Raw genomic sequence first — 21,223 nt, 5'->3', positions numbered from 1 at the left:
ACTGCTATTATTATAAACCCCATTTTACAGATAGGGAAGCTAAAGATCAGACAGTTTAAGTAATTTTCCCAGATGATAAATTTAGGCAACAGCAAAGCTGGTATTTACAATGAGCATTGCCTGATTGGAGAGACTTCTGATCTCAACCCCATACCTGATCTCTAAACTTCATATTGGTGAGAGCCAACTAAGAATGGCAATGACCTTAGGCTGGGTGTGGTGGCTCACACCTGAAATCCTAGCACTTTGGCGGGAGAATCACTTGAGCCTAGGAGTTTGAGACTAGCCTGGGCAACATAGTGAGACTGTCTCTACACAAACTTAAAAAAAAAAAAAATTAGCCAGACACTGTGGTGCTTCCTGTAGTCCCAGCTATTACGGTGGCTGAGGCAGGAGGATTACTTTACTTGAGGCAGGAGTTCAAGGCGGCAGCACACTATGATCCTGCCACTGCATTCCAGCCTGGGTAACAGAGCAAGACCCTGTGTTTGTGCGGGCGGGGATGGGGGGGTAGGGGTTGCGGGGGAGGGGAAGAATGACTTTATATAAGCTCCCAATTTGATAAAGTGTTTTTCTTTAGTGTAGCCTGGACTAAGTGATTTTACAGCCATCCACCGACTGACATTGGCAATTCTTGTATAATGTGTCTAAAGGAGTATATTTTGGGTATGGGGATTATATTCCTTTGTTCTGAACTAAGAACCACAGTTTAGTAGTGTCTCTGTAAATATGCATCTTTTTCCTGCCAGGAAATAAAAAGTTTTATGTGAAGGAGAACCCCCAAATCTTTTTCTTTTCTCAGAGCCTATTCTCATGGCCTAGATCTTAGCAGAGCTCAAAACATAATTGTTGCACTATTGGGACCTTCCATGAATAGTAATAACATTGAACCAGATATAGCTCTGAAGGGCATTAAAAATAAGGGTGGAATTTATCCAAGGCCCATAAAAAAATGAGGCTATAATAGTAAACATTTTTAGCCTGGGTTCCATAAATAGAGTTCAGTGGGTCTGTGAATTTGAATGGGCAAAAATTGCATCTTTTTTTATTTTCTCTAACCTTTAATTAAAAATTAATATTTCCTAGTATCAGCTGTACCTATGAGTTTGTTGTTGCAGACGTCTCAGCATGTGACTTACGCTCACCATTTAGACATTTCAATTGTTTAGATCTGCTGCTATTGTTATTTAAAGCATTATTATAGAAACATATATTACTATAACACAAATTCATTTTTAAAATATTTGGTCATTGTATTTCAATGTAATTGGTTTTCTTTGAAATACTCCATGTTCTATTTTATGCATTTAAAAAACATCACAGTGAGAAGGGGTCCACAGGCTTCCCTACTTCAAGAAGTCCATGGCACAGACACACAAAAAGGGAAGCTCCCTTGGCAGAGTGAAGGCATTTGGGCTCTAGTCTCTTTTCCAGGACTTGCTAGAGCAGGAATTTTGAGATTGATGGGTTTCTCTAGGAAGTTGGTAACTAGTGCCAATGGGAGATCTGCCTGGCTTGATTTGTTGTGCTGCACATGGACAACTGTGGATGCTGTCGGAGCTTCTGTGGAGTGGGAAGGGAGCTCCGCAGTGTAGAATTTGAGGAGAAGCCCTCCTTTGAAATCTTGTAACAATAAGAAAGATAACTCATATACGATGTGCTTTGTTGGGTTAGGCACCGGACAATTTATTTTGTAAACATGATCTACTTTATTTCTCCAATAACCCTATGTATGAGTTAGATTCTCTTACCCCCGTTTTACAGAGGAGGATACTGAACCTTGGTTGCTTCTACAACATTTTTGTCTACTTAGTAAATAAGTATTCTTGTTAAGTAAAAGTTGTTCCTAGTAAGTACTCAATAAATGAATGCTGTCCTTTTAATGTTATAATTAACATGACTTGAGACAGGAAGTTCTTCCTTCCCCTCAGCTATCTCTCTTTAGCACAGTTTCCTTCTTTGGATCTCAGCCAGTTGCATATATACTCTCGCTTTAGGTGAACATGCTGGCATGTGAACATCCTTGCGGCTAGAGCTTCACTGCCAACTTCACAAGAATCTCTCTTGGCATCTGAGGCTCATTAGTGCACTAATACACCAAGGTGTGCGAAAAACTGTCATCCACGTCCCTTTCTATTGCTCGGATAAATTAGTATCCCACTAAATGTTCACCCTAAACTCCTTTACCGAGTGGAGGAATTGCCAAACTACTTCAAATATTAAAGTAGGAGCCTATCTCCCAAATTCAGCTATGTTGATTTGCTTTTTATCAAGACACATTAACTGATCCACATAGGATTTTATTTACCAAGTTGGCCTTAATTTAATGCTTTTATTTTTTTAACCAAGTGACTTTTATTTAAAATAGTGGATTAGGGAGGTTCAGTTTTAAGTTCCTTTTAGGAACTGGTGTCGGCATAACAAAGGACATAAAAGAGGCTGAGAGCAACGTGTGTGTGCGCGCACGCGCGTGTGCATGTGTGTGCGCACATGCATACTCAAGTTATAAGACAAATTGTTTACTTTTCAATCACTCCAAAGGAAAGTATACCACAGGATTTCCCCTTGAGGTTTTCTGCCAGTTTGTATTTTTTTTTATGGCATACTAACATTTATCTTTGGAAGACAGAAAAAAAAAGAATTTGACATTTGTCTTTAAAAAAATATTTATGTAACAAGACTCTGACATTTGCAAATGGCTCCTTATTTGCAACTAAGTCTGGCCTCTATGAGTGACAGAAGTGACTGGAAATTTTCAGAATTATTAAATGGATCTCACAGTTCATTGTTAAGGAGATAGCTTGGTGGTATGGAAAGAACAAAAGCTTTGAAGCCACTCAGATGATTAAAAAAAAATGGGGGGAAGATATGGTGCCTCACACCTGTAATCCCAGCACTTCGTGAGGCTGAGGTGGGAGGATCACTTGAGCCCAGGAGTTTGACACCAGCCTGGGCAATATATTGAGACCCTGTCTGTATAAAAAAAAAAAAAAATTAGCTGGATGTGGTGGTGTGGGCATGTAATCTGAGCTACTTAAAAGGCTGAGGCAGGAGGATCACGAGCCCAGAAGTTCAAGACTGCAGTGAGCTATAATGGTGCCACTGCATTTTAGCCTGGGCAACAGAACGAGAACATCTCCCCCTGCCCCCCCAACTCCCCCCCCCAAAAAAGTTAGCCCTCTCTTCCTCTTTCCTTTCTCCTAAGGGTATTTAAAATAATATACTTGGCCCAAGAGCACAGTATGGCCCTCAAAACTAGAGAAATTACTCTGATTTCTCTCTTGTGAAAAAGAATTCATTCCAAAATAAAACACAGATACAGAAAAGTGCATAAAACAAGTGTCTGGCTTAGTGAATTACTATAAGATCAACACTCTTGTAACCACTGGTCAGGTCAGAAAATATAATTTTGCTGGCCACCCCAGAAGTCTGTTCATGTTCCCCAACTCAATCGGAGATCCCTCCCTTCCTCTAAAAAGTAATCACTATTCCTGGCTTTTATAGTTATCATTTTCTTGAGCTTTTAAACTTGTTTTATCATCCAAGTATGCATCTGTAGTCGTCTTGCTACTAATATGACTGAATACAAATGGCAAACCTTGCTTTTTTGCAGAATTACTGTTTTAAAAAAACTTCCTACAATAAAAACACCAGAATCTTTAAAAAATGTTTAATCTGAATTAATCAAATCATCAGACAAATCTACAAAGTGCCTTTATAAAGTACATGAAATGGTCTGACCTATTCAAATCAAAGTCAATGTCATGAAAACCAAAAAAACACACTGTAGAGGCAAAACAATCAATTTTAATGTGTTGTCCTTGACTGGATTCCGAATTTAAACAATAGACCCATTAACCTTGAAGAAATCTGAATATGGACTGTACTGTATATATATTTAGATGTATATATGTGAATGTATCTGTGTCTTAGTATCTGTATACACACACACACACACAGAAAGAGAGTGAAAGCTAAGCACTCACATATATGCTTCATATTGCAGAGTTCAAAGATCTTGCCATCATTTTCTGTACCTTTAAAAATTTTGTTGGCATGTTACATAAAGAATAACTTGTCACCTCGTTATTCTAAGTGTGCCCGCAGACCAGCAGTCATCAGCATCCCCTGGGAACTTACTGGAAATGCAGAGTCTTAGCGCTGTCCTCAACTAACTGAATCAGAATCTACATTTAAAAGTTCTCTCAGTGATTCATTTACACATTCAAGTTTCAGAGGTAAATTTTATTCTTGCTAAACAGTTTAGCAAAAATAAAGTTAAGTTCTTTGGTACTCTGCCATAGAGATGCTTTCCTCCTACAAAAAATTTCTTAGTGGAATTGTTTGCAAAGCTCTGGTACAGCTGTATTCAGCACTAGCCAATGAGAAAATGGCCCATGATAATTTTCTAGTCAATTAACTGGTGGAGGAGTGTAGAATGAGATATGCTTCCCCATCCATCATCCTAGTAAAAAGCACACCAATTTAGGCAAACAATAAAAAGTCATTTCAATTAAACAACAAAAGGACAGTAAGCTCACTAGCAATGAAGGATTTAATTTAACTTCTAGCTATTGATAGCACTGTTTGACATTCTGGATATATTTTGAGAGTATTTTTTCCTCAAATGATGAAAGAAGTCTTCTCTCCAATCAATGTGGTTGTTTTATTCCAACTGCACATATTTCAGAACAAAGCTATTCGCCACCTCTCCTATCCCATGGCACAGTCTCCTTTGTATTATTTCCTTCTTATCTCTCTCCCAGATGGAAAAGCCTTGCATGTATTCTAATCCAGTATGATAATCTCTTTCTAGAATACCCATGAGAGGTAGAGGTGAAACCTCTGCCTGAAAATGTTATGGTAGAAGGACATCATTCCTTTGTTATCATTCCATAATCAAATCACAATATTTCTAACTGCAGATATATTGGGATAAAGTCTAAATATTGGGATATGTTTAAAATTATTCTTTACATTAAGTCAAATGTAGCCTCTGTGTGCTTCTATTATTGGTCCTTCTGCTGTTCTCTAAAGCAAAAAGTAACAAAATGAATCCGTTTTCTATGGGATGAGAACTATTAAACTCCTGCTGGATATGAAACTCACAACCCCTAGATCATTTCATTTTCAGGTTGAACAGCCATGTTTTCCTCGGTTACTTTTCAAGAGATACATTGATGAGACTCTAAAGTCTGACAGATTTATCAGACCCTAAAATCAGCCTGCCCAGCATATAGCGCCCAATAAATGCCAGGACCTTTTTTCTAAGGGTAAAGTGATCTGTTCTCTGAAACCACGCTTGCTATTTAAGATTCTTCATCATGTGTTTTGATAGACACAGATATAATACTTGGAATATAACTTGTGTAGCAAAGATTACAGCAGGACTCTCACCTCCTCTTCCACCAAGTGGAGTTTAAGGCTCCTGATGGTTTGTTCTTTCTGTTTTGTTTTGATTCTTTCAGCCAGATCATCCTGATTTCAAAATGACCTTAACTCACCTCTAAACCCTGGGGTCTTCATCACATGAGCAGATTCCCAGCCAGTGTTTTGACAAGTGCTCCTTTGCAATCGATTGTTTGAACCTATATGTCTGATTTTACATCTACCTGTCAAGTTTTAGAAAATTGGTCATTTCAGGCCATTAAAACCCTGATTCAGCCTTTGCTCTTTTAGGCATCCCTTCCACTGTGCTTTTCACCCTTTATGTTCCTCCTTAGGATATAGATTCCTGCTACTTCTCTTGCTCTGACTTTAAAAGGAGGGCAACCAACATTAGGAGGGTGCCTACAAGGTACCAGGCTTTGTCCAGGAAATGATGACACATCTGTCCTCCCACAAAGAGAGTTTCACACCTGATATATGTTCTTTGGAACAAGATTTTTTTTCATTTTCTTTTCTGTGTTATTGCAGTTTTCTGACTACTAAAAGCTTAGGTTTTGTTAGGATCCCCACACCTGCCCTGATTCTTTAATTCTTTTTCTGGCTGGCTGTCTGAATTACACCTTGTACTCTGTCTAGGGGCCCTCATGTTCTCAGGAAACCTGAAAGCAAGGTACATTTCTTAAGTTATTTCAGGATGCTCTCCAACAGGGAGACCAGATCGCTTTGGAAAAGCATATTCATTATTCACAATACCTGTTAGGTCACCAGAATACATCCTCTCTCTCTCCCTGGCTTTCCAGGTGAACCACAGGCTTCTGCAATTCCTTCCCACCTGAGTTTCTCACCTCCTAAAATCATGCACACAGCCTCCCTGGTCCCTGCCTTGTCTCTGCCAAGGCAGTAGCACCCAAACCTTGCCATCCAACCTTTTGGACACATTAAGGTTTAAAATGTGCTTTCCTTTAACGTATAATTTAATCAGTTTTAAAAGCTAAGATGCCTATTCCCAATGAGGCCGTTGACCTTGTTCCAAAGCAATTGCTTGTAAATTGTTGTAGAAAACAAAATAATATCCCCTCTTAAAGTGTCTTGCTATTCCTCCAAGGATGGGGTAAAACAGGTGTTGGTTTTTCTCCTCCTCTAACCTTCGAAGGCATAATTTTGGCTCCTTCCTGTGGTAGCTGCCATTCTTTAATTGTTACCGTCCCTTTCCAGGCTACAGGGGGAACGTGACGAAAAATATAAAAAGATTTGGCAGAACAAACTGTCTTGAGTCCAGTGGTTCCCAATGTGGGCTGCATATTAAAATATCTTGAAGAATTAAAAAATAATTCCTGATACCAGGCCCCAGACCAATTAAGTCAGAAACTGCAGGAGTAAGACCCAGTTAATGAGTAGTTTTTAAAGCTACTCAGGTGTTTCCAATGTGCAGCCAAGCCTAAGCATAACTACATCAGCCTGGTGGAAGAAACAGGTATTTCGAATAGGATGGGGCCTGGAAAATGAAAGACATGGGAATAATTTTAATGACTACATTTCAGAGAAATTGTTCTTGACATTGGAACCAACTATATCCTCTAATTAGGCAACAAAAGGCATATATATGTATATTTTTAAAAGTAGATAAGCAAATATAAATTATTTCTCTAAAAGTTAACATGTTTTTAAAAAAAAGCATAATTTGTAATGGCAAAATTGATATTTTCCACAACAGGTAACATGCAGGAGCGATTTAGAATACAAAAGGACTTTCCAAAGGCAAGTCATCCAGATGTCCAAATGGTGGTGAATACAGCCTCTGGAGTATACGTGGGTGGAAATAAAAGTCAATTTCACAGTGGTTAGCCACCTCCCTGAGCCTTTTTTTTCCCCTGGTGGGACACTGAGACACTCGCAAAGCAGCAAAAGGTCTCAGTGGACCCTTCTTGCCATTACTCATGGGTGTGGAGTTTATGGAACACATGGAGGCCGCAGTGGGAGAGACCTGAGGCTGCAGAGGAACCACCCGAACCTTGCTACAGCACCAGCAGTATGGGTCCGACTGCTTTCTTGGCCACTCATATCCAGTGGATGGAATTTGAGACAGCCTGTGTCCATACTAGATTCCACTCTGCTGATTCATACCAGAATGAGGTTCTAGAGTACAAATATTCACAACCAGAAAGCACATCTGGCCTCAGTGCAGCTTTGTTTACTTTGCTACTTAGGAAAAAAAAAAATCTTGAAAAGCGAGTTGCTTTTGCCTTAATTCAGTTCAAATACATTCTAAGCTTCCTTCAACTGAGTCACAGTGTCCTCTATCATGCAAAATCTTTATTATTTCCTTGGCCAGACATAGGGCCATATTGATGAATTCCAAGTGTGCTTTCTAACCAAGGCTGGTTCACAACAAAAAGCTGCTTCAGCTCTGAGTCATCACCTCAAATAACTGATTTCTCTTCTCAGGAATGAGACTAGCAACTTTAATCCATAATTTTCTTCCTCTTCTAACAACTTTTCTCAACCATATTTCCACACTTATTTTTTCTTCTGCATTTAGACCAGAAAGTAAATCTGGTTTGTTTCTTTTGAAACAAAAATGCACAGCTGGAAAGCCAGCTATTTTGAGGCGTGAGTGCACAGTTCCAAGGCAGCATACCTAAAATCCCCCAGAGCTACCAAAACACCATTTACTCTTTTCATTTCTTACATGCAAGAACTAATCATTTCCCCAAGAAGCCAGCTCCCTGGTGTTGGAGCTGAACAAACATAAAATGAGATTTGGGAGAAAGAGGGCAGCATTTCTAAGACTTCCCTTACTCGGAAAACAACGGAAGTCAACAAAATGCTCAATGCATGCGATCAGTACACAGAGTGGGTTTGCTGGATGGTGTAAAGCAACGACATTAAGGACACAATGGGTCCAGAGGGAACCAGCTGGCTGAGATGTTCTGCTAGCAAGTTAAACATAGACAGGAAACCGCGTGTCTGATACTGTAAAAAAATAATTTGTCTTCCTGCCAGAGATAGGCTAGCAAACCAAAAAGGCTGTTTTCACTTAAAAGAAATGCTACAACAATGAGAGAGGAAGGAATGAAACTTTGTGGCTACAAGAAGTCTTCTTCTCTGCCCCTCTCTCAACATCTCAGGTTAGAGGGCACACATCACCACACTAAATGCTAAAGCCTGCACATAGCTTGCGAGTCAGCAACGTGCACCACTGGGCATACATCTTATGGTCTGCTTCCCTATTTAACCACATAGATTGAACTTTGAGTCAGAAGTGGTTACTCAAGTCCTGGTTTCTAAGCTAGCAAGATATAATTGATTTATTTACTTACAGTCCTATCCCATTCCCAAAAACAACAACAACGACAACAACAAAAAACACAGTGAAAGAAGATACAGTCAAGACAGGAGCTATAATTATGACAAATGGAATATAAATGTGAGAAAACAGGGTAAAAACTGGTAAGCAAGAGTGATATTAGTATGCTAAATGTGTAGGTACATATTTGCTAGAAGCATGATTCAGATTTGACTCTAAGCTTTTCTGGTAGTTAGCATTTGAGAGAGAAACACAAAAACCATGAATATCTCTATCAGGGGTTGGCCTGAGCCCTGTTTTTGTAAATGAAGTTGTACTGGAACACAGCCACGTCCAATCACTTACACACTGTCTGTGGCTGCTACCACAGAAGAGTTGAGTAGCTGTGACAGAGACTCTGCCCTGCAAAGCTGAAAATATTTACTATCTTGCCTGTTATCAAAGAAGTTTGCAGACCCCTGCTCGGTATGCTTCAAAGTGTCCTTAAGATCAGAGGCAAACAGGTCGTCATGAGGAGAACACCTTTCTAAAACAGAGAGCCAAAATAAATGTCTCCTGGCTTCCTCATGAAGATAACAATACAATGCAGTGAACAGCATCCTCCACATTCTTTACAGTAAACATACCACTTTGATTCACAGGACTCCTTATAATGGGGAGCACCTCAATAGGACTCAGGTGGAGGAATTTGCAGGGAAGAGGAGAATACATGACGTTGGTACAAATCTCCTCACTCATCCAGCTAAAGGCAAAGATAAGAAATTTGAATCTAGTGGAACAGTAATAACTATTTACAGTCAAAATTCATTAAGTGCTCACTCTGTGCCAGGTGCCGTGCCAAGTTCTCTACATAAATAAATACATTTATCCTCAAAATAATCCTATTAAAAGTATTCATTATTTCTACTCCCATTTTTCAGAGAGGTAAACAAGTAGTTACCCCAAGAACCAAGAGCTTACACACGGCTGAGCTGGGATCTGAACACAGGCAATCAGCAGGGAAGCCATGCTCTCAGCCCTGCCCTCTGTTGTCTTCCCAACAGATGAGCATCTTACTGGCCATCGTTTATACACATCATTTCTCACGGACATGGAAACAGTGTCAGCCTGAGGTTGTGCCTCTTGCCAAGGACATGCTCAGTGATGGGTCTGGGCTGCCGTTTGGCAAACAGAACAGGTAGCCTCTTATGTAAGTTGTGCAGCCTCCCATGGGTTAAGACTGATAAAAAAGCAAACACACCACCACCACGGGAATGTGGAAGGGTAAGGGTATTCCTTCTATAAGAGACAAGATTATCTGGTTCTTCTATGATTCTCCTACGGACAAAAAGTGAGGAACAAACTATGAGATCTTGGAAAATCCCAGCTCCTCTCTGGAGACCCACTTTTTTGTCATTAAAATGAGAAGTCTGGAGGAGCCAATTCACGGGTTTCACTTCATCATAAAAATGTAATGAGTCTATGAAACAAGACAACACACCTGAAAGTAGTTAGCACAGGTGCACACATTCAGAGTAGGCTGCAATCCAAGGCAGCGATCATCACTATAGTTGTTCTATGAGTTCCCACAGCCTAGGCCATGGGCTTGCCACCACCTTGCCTACATTTCAATTGGAAAAGGGGTGGGACCCTGGTCCTGCAAACAAACTACTGAAAGTCTAGGACTTGGGTCCAATGCTATCCCTTTCCTATATGGCCCCAGTGCCTCTCATTTTCTAGAATAAGCAGTTCAGTTCTAAGTTAGCAGGAAAAGCAAGATGGCCAAGATCCAGTCATTTGGGAGCTGGAAGTGGTCCAGCAGCATGCCTCCCTTCATCCTCCTTGGCTTACCATCTTGTTTTCCACGTACCCACCTTCAGCAGACAATCTTAGCAAACAACCCAAGAATGAACTGATTCAGGCCAACTCTTCTTAGAACCACACTATTACTCTCCAGGGCTTTCCAAGGCCACCAAACATCTCCTTCATTGATCCAGTTCAAAACAGTATCTTGTACAATGCATCTTGAAAACATTCGCAAATGTCTTCTTGTTTTGGGAAATATTAAGGGATAGTCCCACAGATAAACTAATACAAATACAATAAACTAACATGAACATGATCACAGAAACAAAAGAAATGCTTACTGAAAAGGTGTCTGATTTTCTCCACATTAAGATCCACACCAGAACAACATTTGTGGAGTATATTTAAAAAATAAACTATTGTCACTGCTGAAAAAGACCCACATGCCACTGGAGAGCTCTGTTACACAAGCTGACTGAGTAAAGTATATTTAGTTCATTTCCAAATGACCAGGCTTTAGACCAAATTTATTCCTCATGGGCCCATTAGCTCAGGGAGTTACCAGCATGAAGTTAATAAGACCTCCATCTCTGGTTCCATCCCTACCTGGTGAGTTCACACCAGTGCTTCTCACACTTCAGTGTGCAAACAAATCACTGAAGGCCTTGTTACAGGCAGATGCTAATGCAATAGGCCCCAGAGGACCCAAGGTTGTGCAGTTCTAATAAGCTCCCGGGTGATCCTGCTGCTGCTGGTCTAGACACTTTCAGTAGCAACGGTTTATACCGTTCAGAAGAGGTATGTGTCTTGGTGTAGAGTGTTCTCGTTAATCAGGGGAAGAAGAAGTAAGAAAGGATGCACCTACTGTGTGCCAGCCACTGTGCTGGGCGCTCCCAAGCATCATCTCCTTAAATCCCACAACAACCCACAGGTACCATTTATCAGCACTACTTGGCCAATAATGGCGCAGTCATTCAAAGAGAAGGCCTTGTGGCCCAAAGCAAGCTTTCCATGGAAAAAATGAAGAGGGAATGAATCCCTTTGGCAAGTACAGAACTGCGATTACCCTAATCACTTATGTGAAAGGCACTTGTGGGTTGTTTCAGTTTTATTTAGCTGCTTCCTGCTGTGATTCTGAGTCAAAACAGGAACAACGTGTCTAATTTGTAATATTATCCAACAATGACAGGGATGTGGTTAGCTTTGATTAGAAATTCTAGACTCAGCATGCTCCCCTTGCCTCTGTGAAGGCATGTGGAGAAAAAGAGAAACTGGATGAAACAGGGATTAAAGCAAAGTGAGCCCCTCCAAAACCTTGTGGTGTGATATGTAGGTATCCAAATGCTCAGTTTATGCACCACAGTCAGCACTCAACTACAAAACTTCAGTGTTAGAACAGACCGAAGGCTACACAGGCCTGGTTTCCTGCATTCAGACAAGCACAAGTCACCAGCCCTCTATAAAAAGCCCAACTACTGCTAACAGCTAACAGACAGTGACATGTCAGGCAACGTTGCAAGCACTTTACATGCATTAATCTACTCAATCCTCACAACACCTCCCACCCGCTTTGTATTTCCATTTTACAGATGAAGAGACTGAAGCATGGAGATGTCAAGTCACTGGCCCAACATAGCAGAGCTAATAAGCTGTAGAATAAGCCTTAAATCCAGGAGATCTAGCTCATTCTTGAGTATTACACTAGACCGTTTCTCTCTTACCTAAACCAGCAGAAATCACCTCTTCGCTCAGTGTTCCACAAATTAAATGTCTGACTGCACTTGGAAACCATTTATGAAATGAATAAAACTGAGTTGTTGTGTTTGATTCTTACAGGTTCAGTGAGAGATCAATAACCATATCATGTCTTTGCAAAGTGGGGATGTCATTGGCAAGTAAACAGCATGGCTATTTGCTCAGGATTCCTTCCTCTCCTACCTCCTGTGCTGCTGCCTTCAGTCCTGGTGCCCATCAGGTCTCGTCTGACTGACAGCTGTCACCAGGCCATCCATCATGACCAATCCAAACAACTTCTCTTCTAATTGGAATTTTATATGTTGGTTAGTACAGGGATAGACTCTGATTTCCTTAGAATTCTACACAAAATGTTCTGGCAGGAGGGAATCTTCAGAGACTGGGAGGGAAGCATGAATGTGAGAGAACAGTTGTGCAGTGCAGACCCCAGCCCCATTCTAGTTGTTTCTTGACCCCTGCCTGCCCTTGGTCACTGTAGGGAGGCAGGGGAACTGGCACTAGGCCCCACTGAGGGATTCCAGGGTTAAGGGTAGGTACCCGGTTCAAAGAAAAAAACAGCAAGGTTTCTTTAACTCTTTCATTCTAAAAACCATGATCTCAGTCCTCTGAGGAAAGGGCATCTATGACACCAGTGTCTGATGTCAAGATGTTACCGTGTTCCTCTGCCTCTACAGACAACCAAGCCTCATTTACAACAACAACAAAAGGAACAAATGTTAAATCTCTGCACCATTTTGTCTAGATGTTTGAATTTGTCTAGCATTTGAATTTTTTATCATATGCATATATTATCTCTTTGGAAACATACAGAGATATAAAGAGAAAGAAGGAAATAAAAAGAGGAAAAAAGGAAAGAATTAAAAAAGGAAAAAAGGAAAACCTTCACAGGTTTTAGTGCCTTACATATCCCATTATAAATCCTAGCTTTGATACCCACTAGTTGTTTGATTGTAGACAAAGTGTTAAATTTCTCTAAGCCTGGTTTTCTCATGCATAAACAGGGATCCTAACAGTGCCTACTCGCATGGGGTGGCTATAAGATTAAATGAGGTCATGCTTGGAAAGGGCTGAGCTCCCTGCACAGCGACAGTATGTTTTCTCTGAATATTAACTATCATTAATAGTAGCACTAGAAATAAAGATCCATACTTAAAATCTTGTGGCTCAACTTTTTTTTCTTACATATTAAAAAAGGTAGATGTACATAATTATCATCCATTGTGTAGCTGCAGATCAGGAACTTGCCAACAAGAGTACTGTACTACTAATAATACAGCCACAATGCACTTCATAGCTTTTGTGTTCACCACCTTGTTGGACTTGGAGTAGACAAATCAACATTAAGAGTTTTCATTCTGGCCGGGTGTGGTGGCTCATGCCTGTAATCCTAGCACTTTGGGAGGCTGAGGCAGGTGGATCATCTGAGGTCAAGAGTTTGAGACCAGCCTGATCAACATGGTGAAACCCCGTCTCTACTAAAAACATAAAAATTAGCCGGGCATGGTGGCAGATGCCTGTAATCCCAGCTACTTGAGAGGCTGAGGCAGGAGAATTGCTTGAATCCAGGAGGCAGAGGTTGCAGTGAGCCGAGACTGCACCATTGCACTCCAGCCCGGGTGACAGAGTGAGACTCTGTCTCAAAAAAAAAAAAAAAAAAAGTTTTCATTCCTCAAGATAAAGAAGAGATGGTGGCAATAAGGGGAGAAATGGAATATAAAATGTTGCTCCTAATGTCTGCTGTTTTAGGTGGAAGAAATATCCCACCACACAGAAAAGAGATGCTTAAAAAGCAAACACCCCCTACCTTCTGGAGCATTTTAGAAGACTCTGAAATCACCCAGACATTTGAGTCGTCAGCTGTGAAAGGCTTCCTGTACTGTACAGTGAGAAATTGTCTTTATGCTTATTATCTCACTTCATAAGAAAGTCTGAGAATAAATAAGAGGAAAAATATGAGGGATGCCCATGATGATCACTTGAGTTGAAAGACTCTGAAAATGGAAGTCATTAGTATCTGAAAGGCTCATAGTAAAATATAAAATGCATGATATATTTTGACAAAGATATTCAATGATAAAATATAGATCCAACTTGCAGGCCATTTATCAACTTTTGTCCTTTTGGAGGAAATAAACTTGTCTACTGTAGACAAGCTGGTATACAGAAGGAGAGAAAAGTTTCTTCAATGCTAGTAAACATGCCTGGGTATTCTACTGTCAGAGATTAATTCCTTTGGCTTAGCCTAGGCCTTCTTTTAAAAGGTGATCTACTTGAAGAAAGCTGACCTGGTAAGTCAGAATATCAGGTGTTACCATGTTTCATGTGATTAAACTATTTAGATTTCCCTCCTAACTCAAATCACATAAAGAACATGAGGCCAAGCACAGTGGTTCATGCCTGTAATTCTAGCACTTTGGGAGGCCAAGGCAGGTTATTCACCTGAGGTCAGGAGTTCGAGACCAGACTGACGAACATGGTGAAACTCGTCTCTACTAAAAATACAAAGATTAGCTGGGTATGGTGGCACACTCCTGCAGTCCCACCTACTCAGGAGGCTGAGGCAGGAGGATCACTTGAACCTGGGAGGCAGAGGTTGCAGTGAGCCAAGATCGTGCCATTGCACTCCAGCCTGGGCGACAGAGTGAGACTCCGTCAAAAAAAAAAAAAAAAAAAAAACAACCAGAAAAGAAAACGAGAGAAATGGACCATTTACAGGATGAGGATGAGAACATAGGAAGGAAGAGTAATCTGGAAAGCGTTGCCCTGACAAGATGTGCATGCCTGCCTTCAGTTCACTGAGAAGTTGGCCTGGGGGATGTTGGACAGGAAGATAGGGAGAATGGCAGTAGGTGAAGGACACAGGAAGAGAACAAGCTGGATCTGCAGTGCTACTGAGCACCAAACACGAAACACGAGGACACATAGCTTCTCGCAGGTGGAATGCACATGGCCGCAGAGATAGGGTGTAGAGCCAGCATTTGTATTTCAAAAAGATTTTTTAATTAAATCAGACCTATTGTTGACTAAACTAACATTTACACTACCACGCTGGTAAAATTAAAAGACTTATCCATTCCCAGTGTTGGAGAAGGTACACGGAAATCCATATGCTTACATCCTTTTCAGGAGGAGAATAGTTTAGTAGTGCTTATTCAAATTTAAAATACACATATTTCTAATCTAGAAATTTCACTTCTGGCAATCTGCCTTGCAGAAATATTAGCACAAATGCATGAGATATTTTTACAAAGATATTCAATGTAGCATTAAGTGGAAAAACTGAAGACAATCCATCAACAGGGACATGATAAGATCCATCGTGGGAGATAATATGAAATTCGAGACTAAATTAAAAGATGTACAGTATATCTATGTGTTCTATCTTGTTTAGAAGGAATTGTAAAAGTGGTTGGGTATAAAAAAGTGTTGCAAAATAATATTTATAGTATGATCAGATAGTTGTACTGAAAGATGGATGAGTGGATGGAAGGATGGACAGATGGATGAAAGGAGGGAAAGAGAAAGGAAGACAGGGAGAGATTGGGAGAGAGGATGGAGTGGGAGATAATATGAATGAATGATAGAGACGTGTGTGCATCTAATACATTGTCAATACAGATGATCTGTTGCATTGGGAGTGAGGGGAGGACGAAAATGTACTTTCATTTTTAATTTTCACACACTGTTGGATTGTTTGAAATTTTTGATGACGAGCATATACTACTTTTGTAATTAAAAACCACTGAATTCTCTTCTTATTAAAAATTGAGGGAATAGTGTATGCCTTCCTTTCAAGCTGAGTAAACGCTGAACTTCAAAGATGGAGGCTAGTATCTAATCTACTCTTCTCCTGGCTCTAGGGGTAAACTTTGGCTTATTATTTCCTCTCTGTATTGCAATGTTTCTCTCAAATGGGATCGATGACAAGTACCCTAAAGACAAATCCTGGGACTATGTACAAGAAACAACATCAGTTATAAAGAAAGTCCTCCTCCAAGATTAAACAACCCCATCCAAATCTTTAGAACAATAGTTACCAAATTTTAGCTGCACAGAATTACTGGGAGGGCTTGTTAAAATACAGATAGCTGGGGTTCACCCTCTATGTTTCTCATTTAGTGGGGCCTGAGAATCTGCATTTATAACAGGTTCCCAGGTGATACTGATGCTGGCTGCTCAAGAGGCCGCACTTTGAGAAACACTGCTCTAGGTGAAAGAAACTATTTGTCAAAGACAAATAATAATGTTTGCCCCAGTCAACCATATTTGATGAGAACCAGAACAAACCCTGCTACTCCCCAAGCCCCTCTTTCCACCAGCTGAATGAGCTCCTAATCCACTGTATGCAATCCACCACAGGAGGAATGTGCTCTATGACACTGCAGACCAAGGATACAAAAAATTGGCACAGATCTCAGGTCCCACACCCTTAAGAGAAGAAAACTCACCTTCTGAGAAGATGATGTTGTCATTGCACTCATCAGAGCTACAGGAACACATGAAGAAAGTCTCACCAGGCTTTTTTTTTTCCTTCATAATGCACTTTGGAGAAGCAGCATCTTCCAGAATAAAGTCATGGTAGGGGAGCTTGGGGTCATGGCAAACTGTCTCTAGTGTTATGTTCTCGTCATTCTTTCTCCTAGAGTGAAGAGATTCATTGGAAGCGAGGGGAGAGGGAGAGAGAGAAAGAGAATAAATGAATAATATGGCCTCCAGACAGAAAGGCAATCTGGAATACTTTTCCTTCATGAAGTTGTTCCTAACAACGGCAGCTGGTTCCTGTTCTCCAGCATTCGCAGGCTGTCCTATAGTCTCCTATGCTTTTCTACTCTTTTCTGTTTTTCCTTTGTTTATTCTTGGAACCCATTTGTGATTATAAACATCACCTGGAGCAGACAGCGTTCCACGGGGCAGTCCTGGTGGAGAACTTTACATATTTAAGTCTTAATTAAATCATTAAAGGGGAAGACATGGAAAAAAAGAACATTCCTAGGTACTCAGGATAATTTTAAATCTTCCATCCTGAATGTAATGCAAACCTCACATCACACCCCTAGTTTAAGTGGCAAAATCTGTCCTGTCTAGCTATACTGTTTTCAAAGAGCATGCCTGGGGAAATAGTCACAGTTCCTCTTTTTTTTGTTTGCTGGGCCCCAGAGCATTGCGTGTAAAGGGTATACTCCTTGTCAACAGCTGGTTCTGCTGAGAAAAACGGGAAGAAACATCGCAGATAAAGAACTGCAGTCTTTCCCAAATTACAGAAAGGAGCAATTCAGAAAAAACAAACAAACAAAAAAAACAAATAAATAAAAGAAATGGAAAGGGATGTCAGGGTGTTCTTCATTTACAGTTCAATGAAATATTTTATGCTGTCATAAACTAACTACTTTGACAGTATCACTTCATAGCACATATTTGAAGACTAATTTAGCCCAGGGCTCAGAGAATTTCTCACATAGCATTTTCCTTGGGCCCTAGGAAATGCTCAATTGGCCGTCAGTGTACATTAGATTTTTAAACAACATGATTAATGCCCACTATTATAATTGAACAAAAGAACATTTTGGCTCTCTTGGAAAAGGGTATCACCTCTCTATCTACCTCCCTCTGCTCCCTCATGAACATACTATCTTGGATGACTGTCCAACAAGGCTAGTCTGACATCCACCCTTTCACCTCTGTCCTTTTTAGATGCAAAATACCTGTTGTCTTGAATCGCATTCTCTCTGTCTAGAGAGGGAGCGGAAGGAAGGGCTAATCTGGTCCAGTCAGTTTTGCTAGAGTAATCTTCTATGAAGATTCTGAGTGCACACATGAGCCAATGCATGCATGTACTCACTCACCAATTTTCCCCTAATCCTCCCTGCCCCATGCACAAAGGCTCACTGCTCACAGCAAGGAAAACGGAAGGCAGGCTAGAAGCAAGAAGCAGCTAAGACACAGCTTGCACCTATAAAAGATGCGGGGCCATCCCCATGAGAGAAAGAGCAACTTTGACCAATACCACTTTTTTAGTGCTTAAGTCAAGGACATTAAAGGACAATATGTTGACAAAGGGATAAGGGCAAGGGTATGGGTTAGGACAATCCAGGCAGGAATGGTGCCAGTGTCAACATCCATGCAGCCCAGAGTTGACTCCAGTGGAGGTACATGTGTCTGCTTGTGAAGGGGCTCAAGGGTTCTTAAACTAGAATTCCGAAAGACACAAGAGGAGCAAGGCTTTGCTAAGTTGGTCCCTGCTGTGACAGGAAGAGTGACAAGCAGAATAATTGGTTGAGGGTGGCTATCAGGACACCAAATGAAACTAAATGAAAGTTGGCATGATCATACAACAAATGATGTATAATTTGGAAATCTACCCATCTTTAACCCCAAAGCTACTTGGCAGTCTTCAAATCAGCTGTAGTCATGGAACAAGAACACCTTCCTCCCTGCCCCCACAGTTTTGTGTGTGTGTGTGTGTGTGTGTGTGTGTGTGTGTGTGTGTGTAGGTTGTTTTTGGTTTGGGTAATAAAACGAAGGTATGCTGTGCCCACAGAAAGGCATGGTCTCTTTTCCTTGTGACGCTTATAGAGGCCTAAGAAGGAACTGTGAGCCATGAAAGAAAGCTGCTCTATAATTATTGGGCAGCTCTTCCAGAGCCTCCGGTTTTCTACCTCTTAGCTACTGAGAGAACTAACATCACAGAGAGAAAACAACTGTAATACTTGAGACCTGGTAAAGCCCTTAACTGCTTTCTCCACTCACTCCTGTAACAGCCAGGCACAGCTAACTTTTCAAACTCTTTTTGGATATAGCTGAGCATAGGAAAGGTAAATACAAAGAAGTAAATACGGACTTCTTTTTTTGTCCTGCAACATTTGCTCTGAGCCACTGAAGAGGTTGTCAATTTCCACTGAAAGAAGAACCAACATGATAAAATTAATTTTGGAGGCTGGGCACGGTGGCTCATGCCTGTAATCTAAGCACTTTCAGAGGCCGAGGCAGGCGGATCACAAGGTCAGGAGTTCGAGACCAGCCTGGCCAACACAGTGAAACCCCATCTCTACTAAAAATACAAAAAATTAGCCACGTGATGGTGGTGTGCACCTGTAATCACAGCTACTCAGGAAGCTGAAGCAGGAGAATCGCACGAACCCGGGAGGCAGAGGTTGCAGTGAGCCCAGATCACGCCATTGCACTCCAGCCTGGGCAACAGTGGGAGACTCCCTCTCAATTTAAAAATAATAATAATAATAATTTTGGTTATAAAATATTTCTATCCTTGGAGGCAGCTTAAGCATTTTATATGGAATGGGCACACAACTGACATTAGTTAAATGAATGAATGAATGAATGAATGAATGAAAAAACACTAAAACTGATTAAAAAAACAACAACACTGAAATCTACAATCATAGTAGAGCCTTTCAGTTTCCACACTGGCTATTTTTACAATAGCCTCCTGTCTTAGTTTAGGTTTCCTGGAAACAGACCTTGAGGCTGTGAGAGTTCTGTGCAGGAGGTTTTTGGAGATGCATCTGTAAGCGACTAAAGGCAACAGTATTGCACAGAAGGAAAAAGCTAAACTATAATGCAGGTTGCAGCAAAGGCCTCAGTGAATGCCTTGGAAACTCTGAAAATGGGATGTCCTTCAAAGATGTACCACATTATGGCAAAATAACCAGGAATTTGTTTCTCTGCATCAACTAGCCATGGGATGATGGCTACCCATGAAAAGTGTCCAACGTGAATGAGGCAGCTCCCATCACTGGAGGGAAGGCTCAGCAGTGATCCTTCAACAGCCAACACTCCCAGGGAATGAGTGCCTTGGTCATGAAGGAGGATCAAGGAGGGCACTATAGCGTACCCTATACTTCCCCTTCTCATTATCAACACCCCTGGCTTCACGGGAGAATTTTCTTTGGCCAGCACAGGTCAAAATAATGTTCATTGTATTTACCCTTTATAGCTGGGACACAGAAAAGACAGGGAGGCCTCCTCTCTTCGACATGCTCACATTTTTTTGAGGCTAGCAAAGCCTCTATTCTAGAGAGACTTGATTCACATTTAATGATTTGGGCTTGTATTACTGGTCAGGAAAACAAAAATCTTAATTAAAAGAGCCTTTTTGGGTTGCAAAAGCAAGTGCTCACACCACCGTAGATATTTAAGAAACCACGGAAGGAAGCTTTGAGGCCATCTAGTCTGGTGTCTCAATCTTTCCTGCATTCTATTTGACATATGGTCATCCAGCCTCTCCTGAACTTCACTTGGTGCTTACAGAAAAGGAAGCCTGTTCTGCTGTTGGGAAACCATGATTGTGAAAATGTCTAAACTTATGCTGAGCACAAGTCTGCCTGCCTTGCAAATGTTATGGATCCTCCCTCTACCCTTCAGAGTTATGCAGAATATGTTTATTATATTTTCTACCTGAGAGCCTTTCAATTTCATCAGCAGAACCCACGATCTCTCTTCACTGTACTAACCATGTCTAATTGCCCAGGCCATTCCTCAGACAGCATGATTTCTAGGCCTCTAACCACACTGGTCCCTCTCCTCTGAACACATTCTTTGTCCAAATCCTTTCTTTGAAAGCGTTACCTAGAAGTGGACATGGACAGGTATCATATCATATTGGCAAGTATGTCATGACAAGTCTTTGCTGTTAACATTCCTTCAGTTCTTAAGAAACCAGTTCATCCCGTGGTATGTACAGAAGTTTGCAAGGTTTCCAGATCTATCATCAAGGCTAGCTTTACATGGTCTAGGGGTCTCAAATGACTCATTCCCAAAAAAGGGGGAGAGATATTTGGGTTTATATTCTTGTTTGTCAACTAGCCAGGAGACACATAAGTTACTTTTTTTAAAATGGCCAATAAATTAAAAACATCAGAATAAGTCTGCAAAATGTCATATCTCATTAATGAATTTATGTACTTTTGTAAAATTACAACTCTTCTAAAGATCAAGGTTATTTCTTGTTCATGCTCACAATCTATAACCATG

At 40.8% G+C, this 21,223-nt stretch overlaps 1 protein-coding gene across 16 annotated transcripts in view; it reads right to left on the bottom strand.

The window, feature by feature from the left end:
* The window catches only part of TGFBR2 (transforming growth factor beta receptor 2), an 87,787-nt gene that overhangs the window by 26,999 nt on the left and 39,565 nt on the right, over positions 1 to 21,223 (bottom strand). For 11 of the 16 annotated variants that reach the window (NM_001407132.1, NM_001407136.1, NM_001407133.1 and 8 more), the window contains one exon: positions 16,684 to 16,874. The exons of 2 other annotated variants lie outside the window; for them this stretch is intronic. In NM_001407132.1, the coding sequence (NP_001394061.1) occupies positions 16,684 to 16,874 (191 nt within the window). Of the gene's footprint in view, positions 1 to 5,504; positions 5,613 to 16,683; positions 16,875 to 21,223 lie in introns of all 16 variants that reach the window. 3 more of the 16 variants (NM_001407129.1, NM_001407126.1, NM_001407127.1) reach the window with 1 other exon arrangement.

This window comes from Homo sapiens, chromosome 3 (assembly GCF_000001405.40).
Source record: "Homo sapiens chromosome 3, GRCh38.p14 Primary Assembly".
Lineage (NCBI taxonomy): Eukaryota > Metazoa > Chordata > Mammalia > Primates > Hominidae > Homo > Homo sapiens.
Note: the sequence above shows the minus strand (reverse complement) of the source record. Positions and strands in the feature narration are given on the sequence as shown.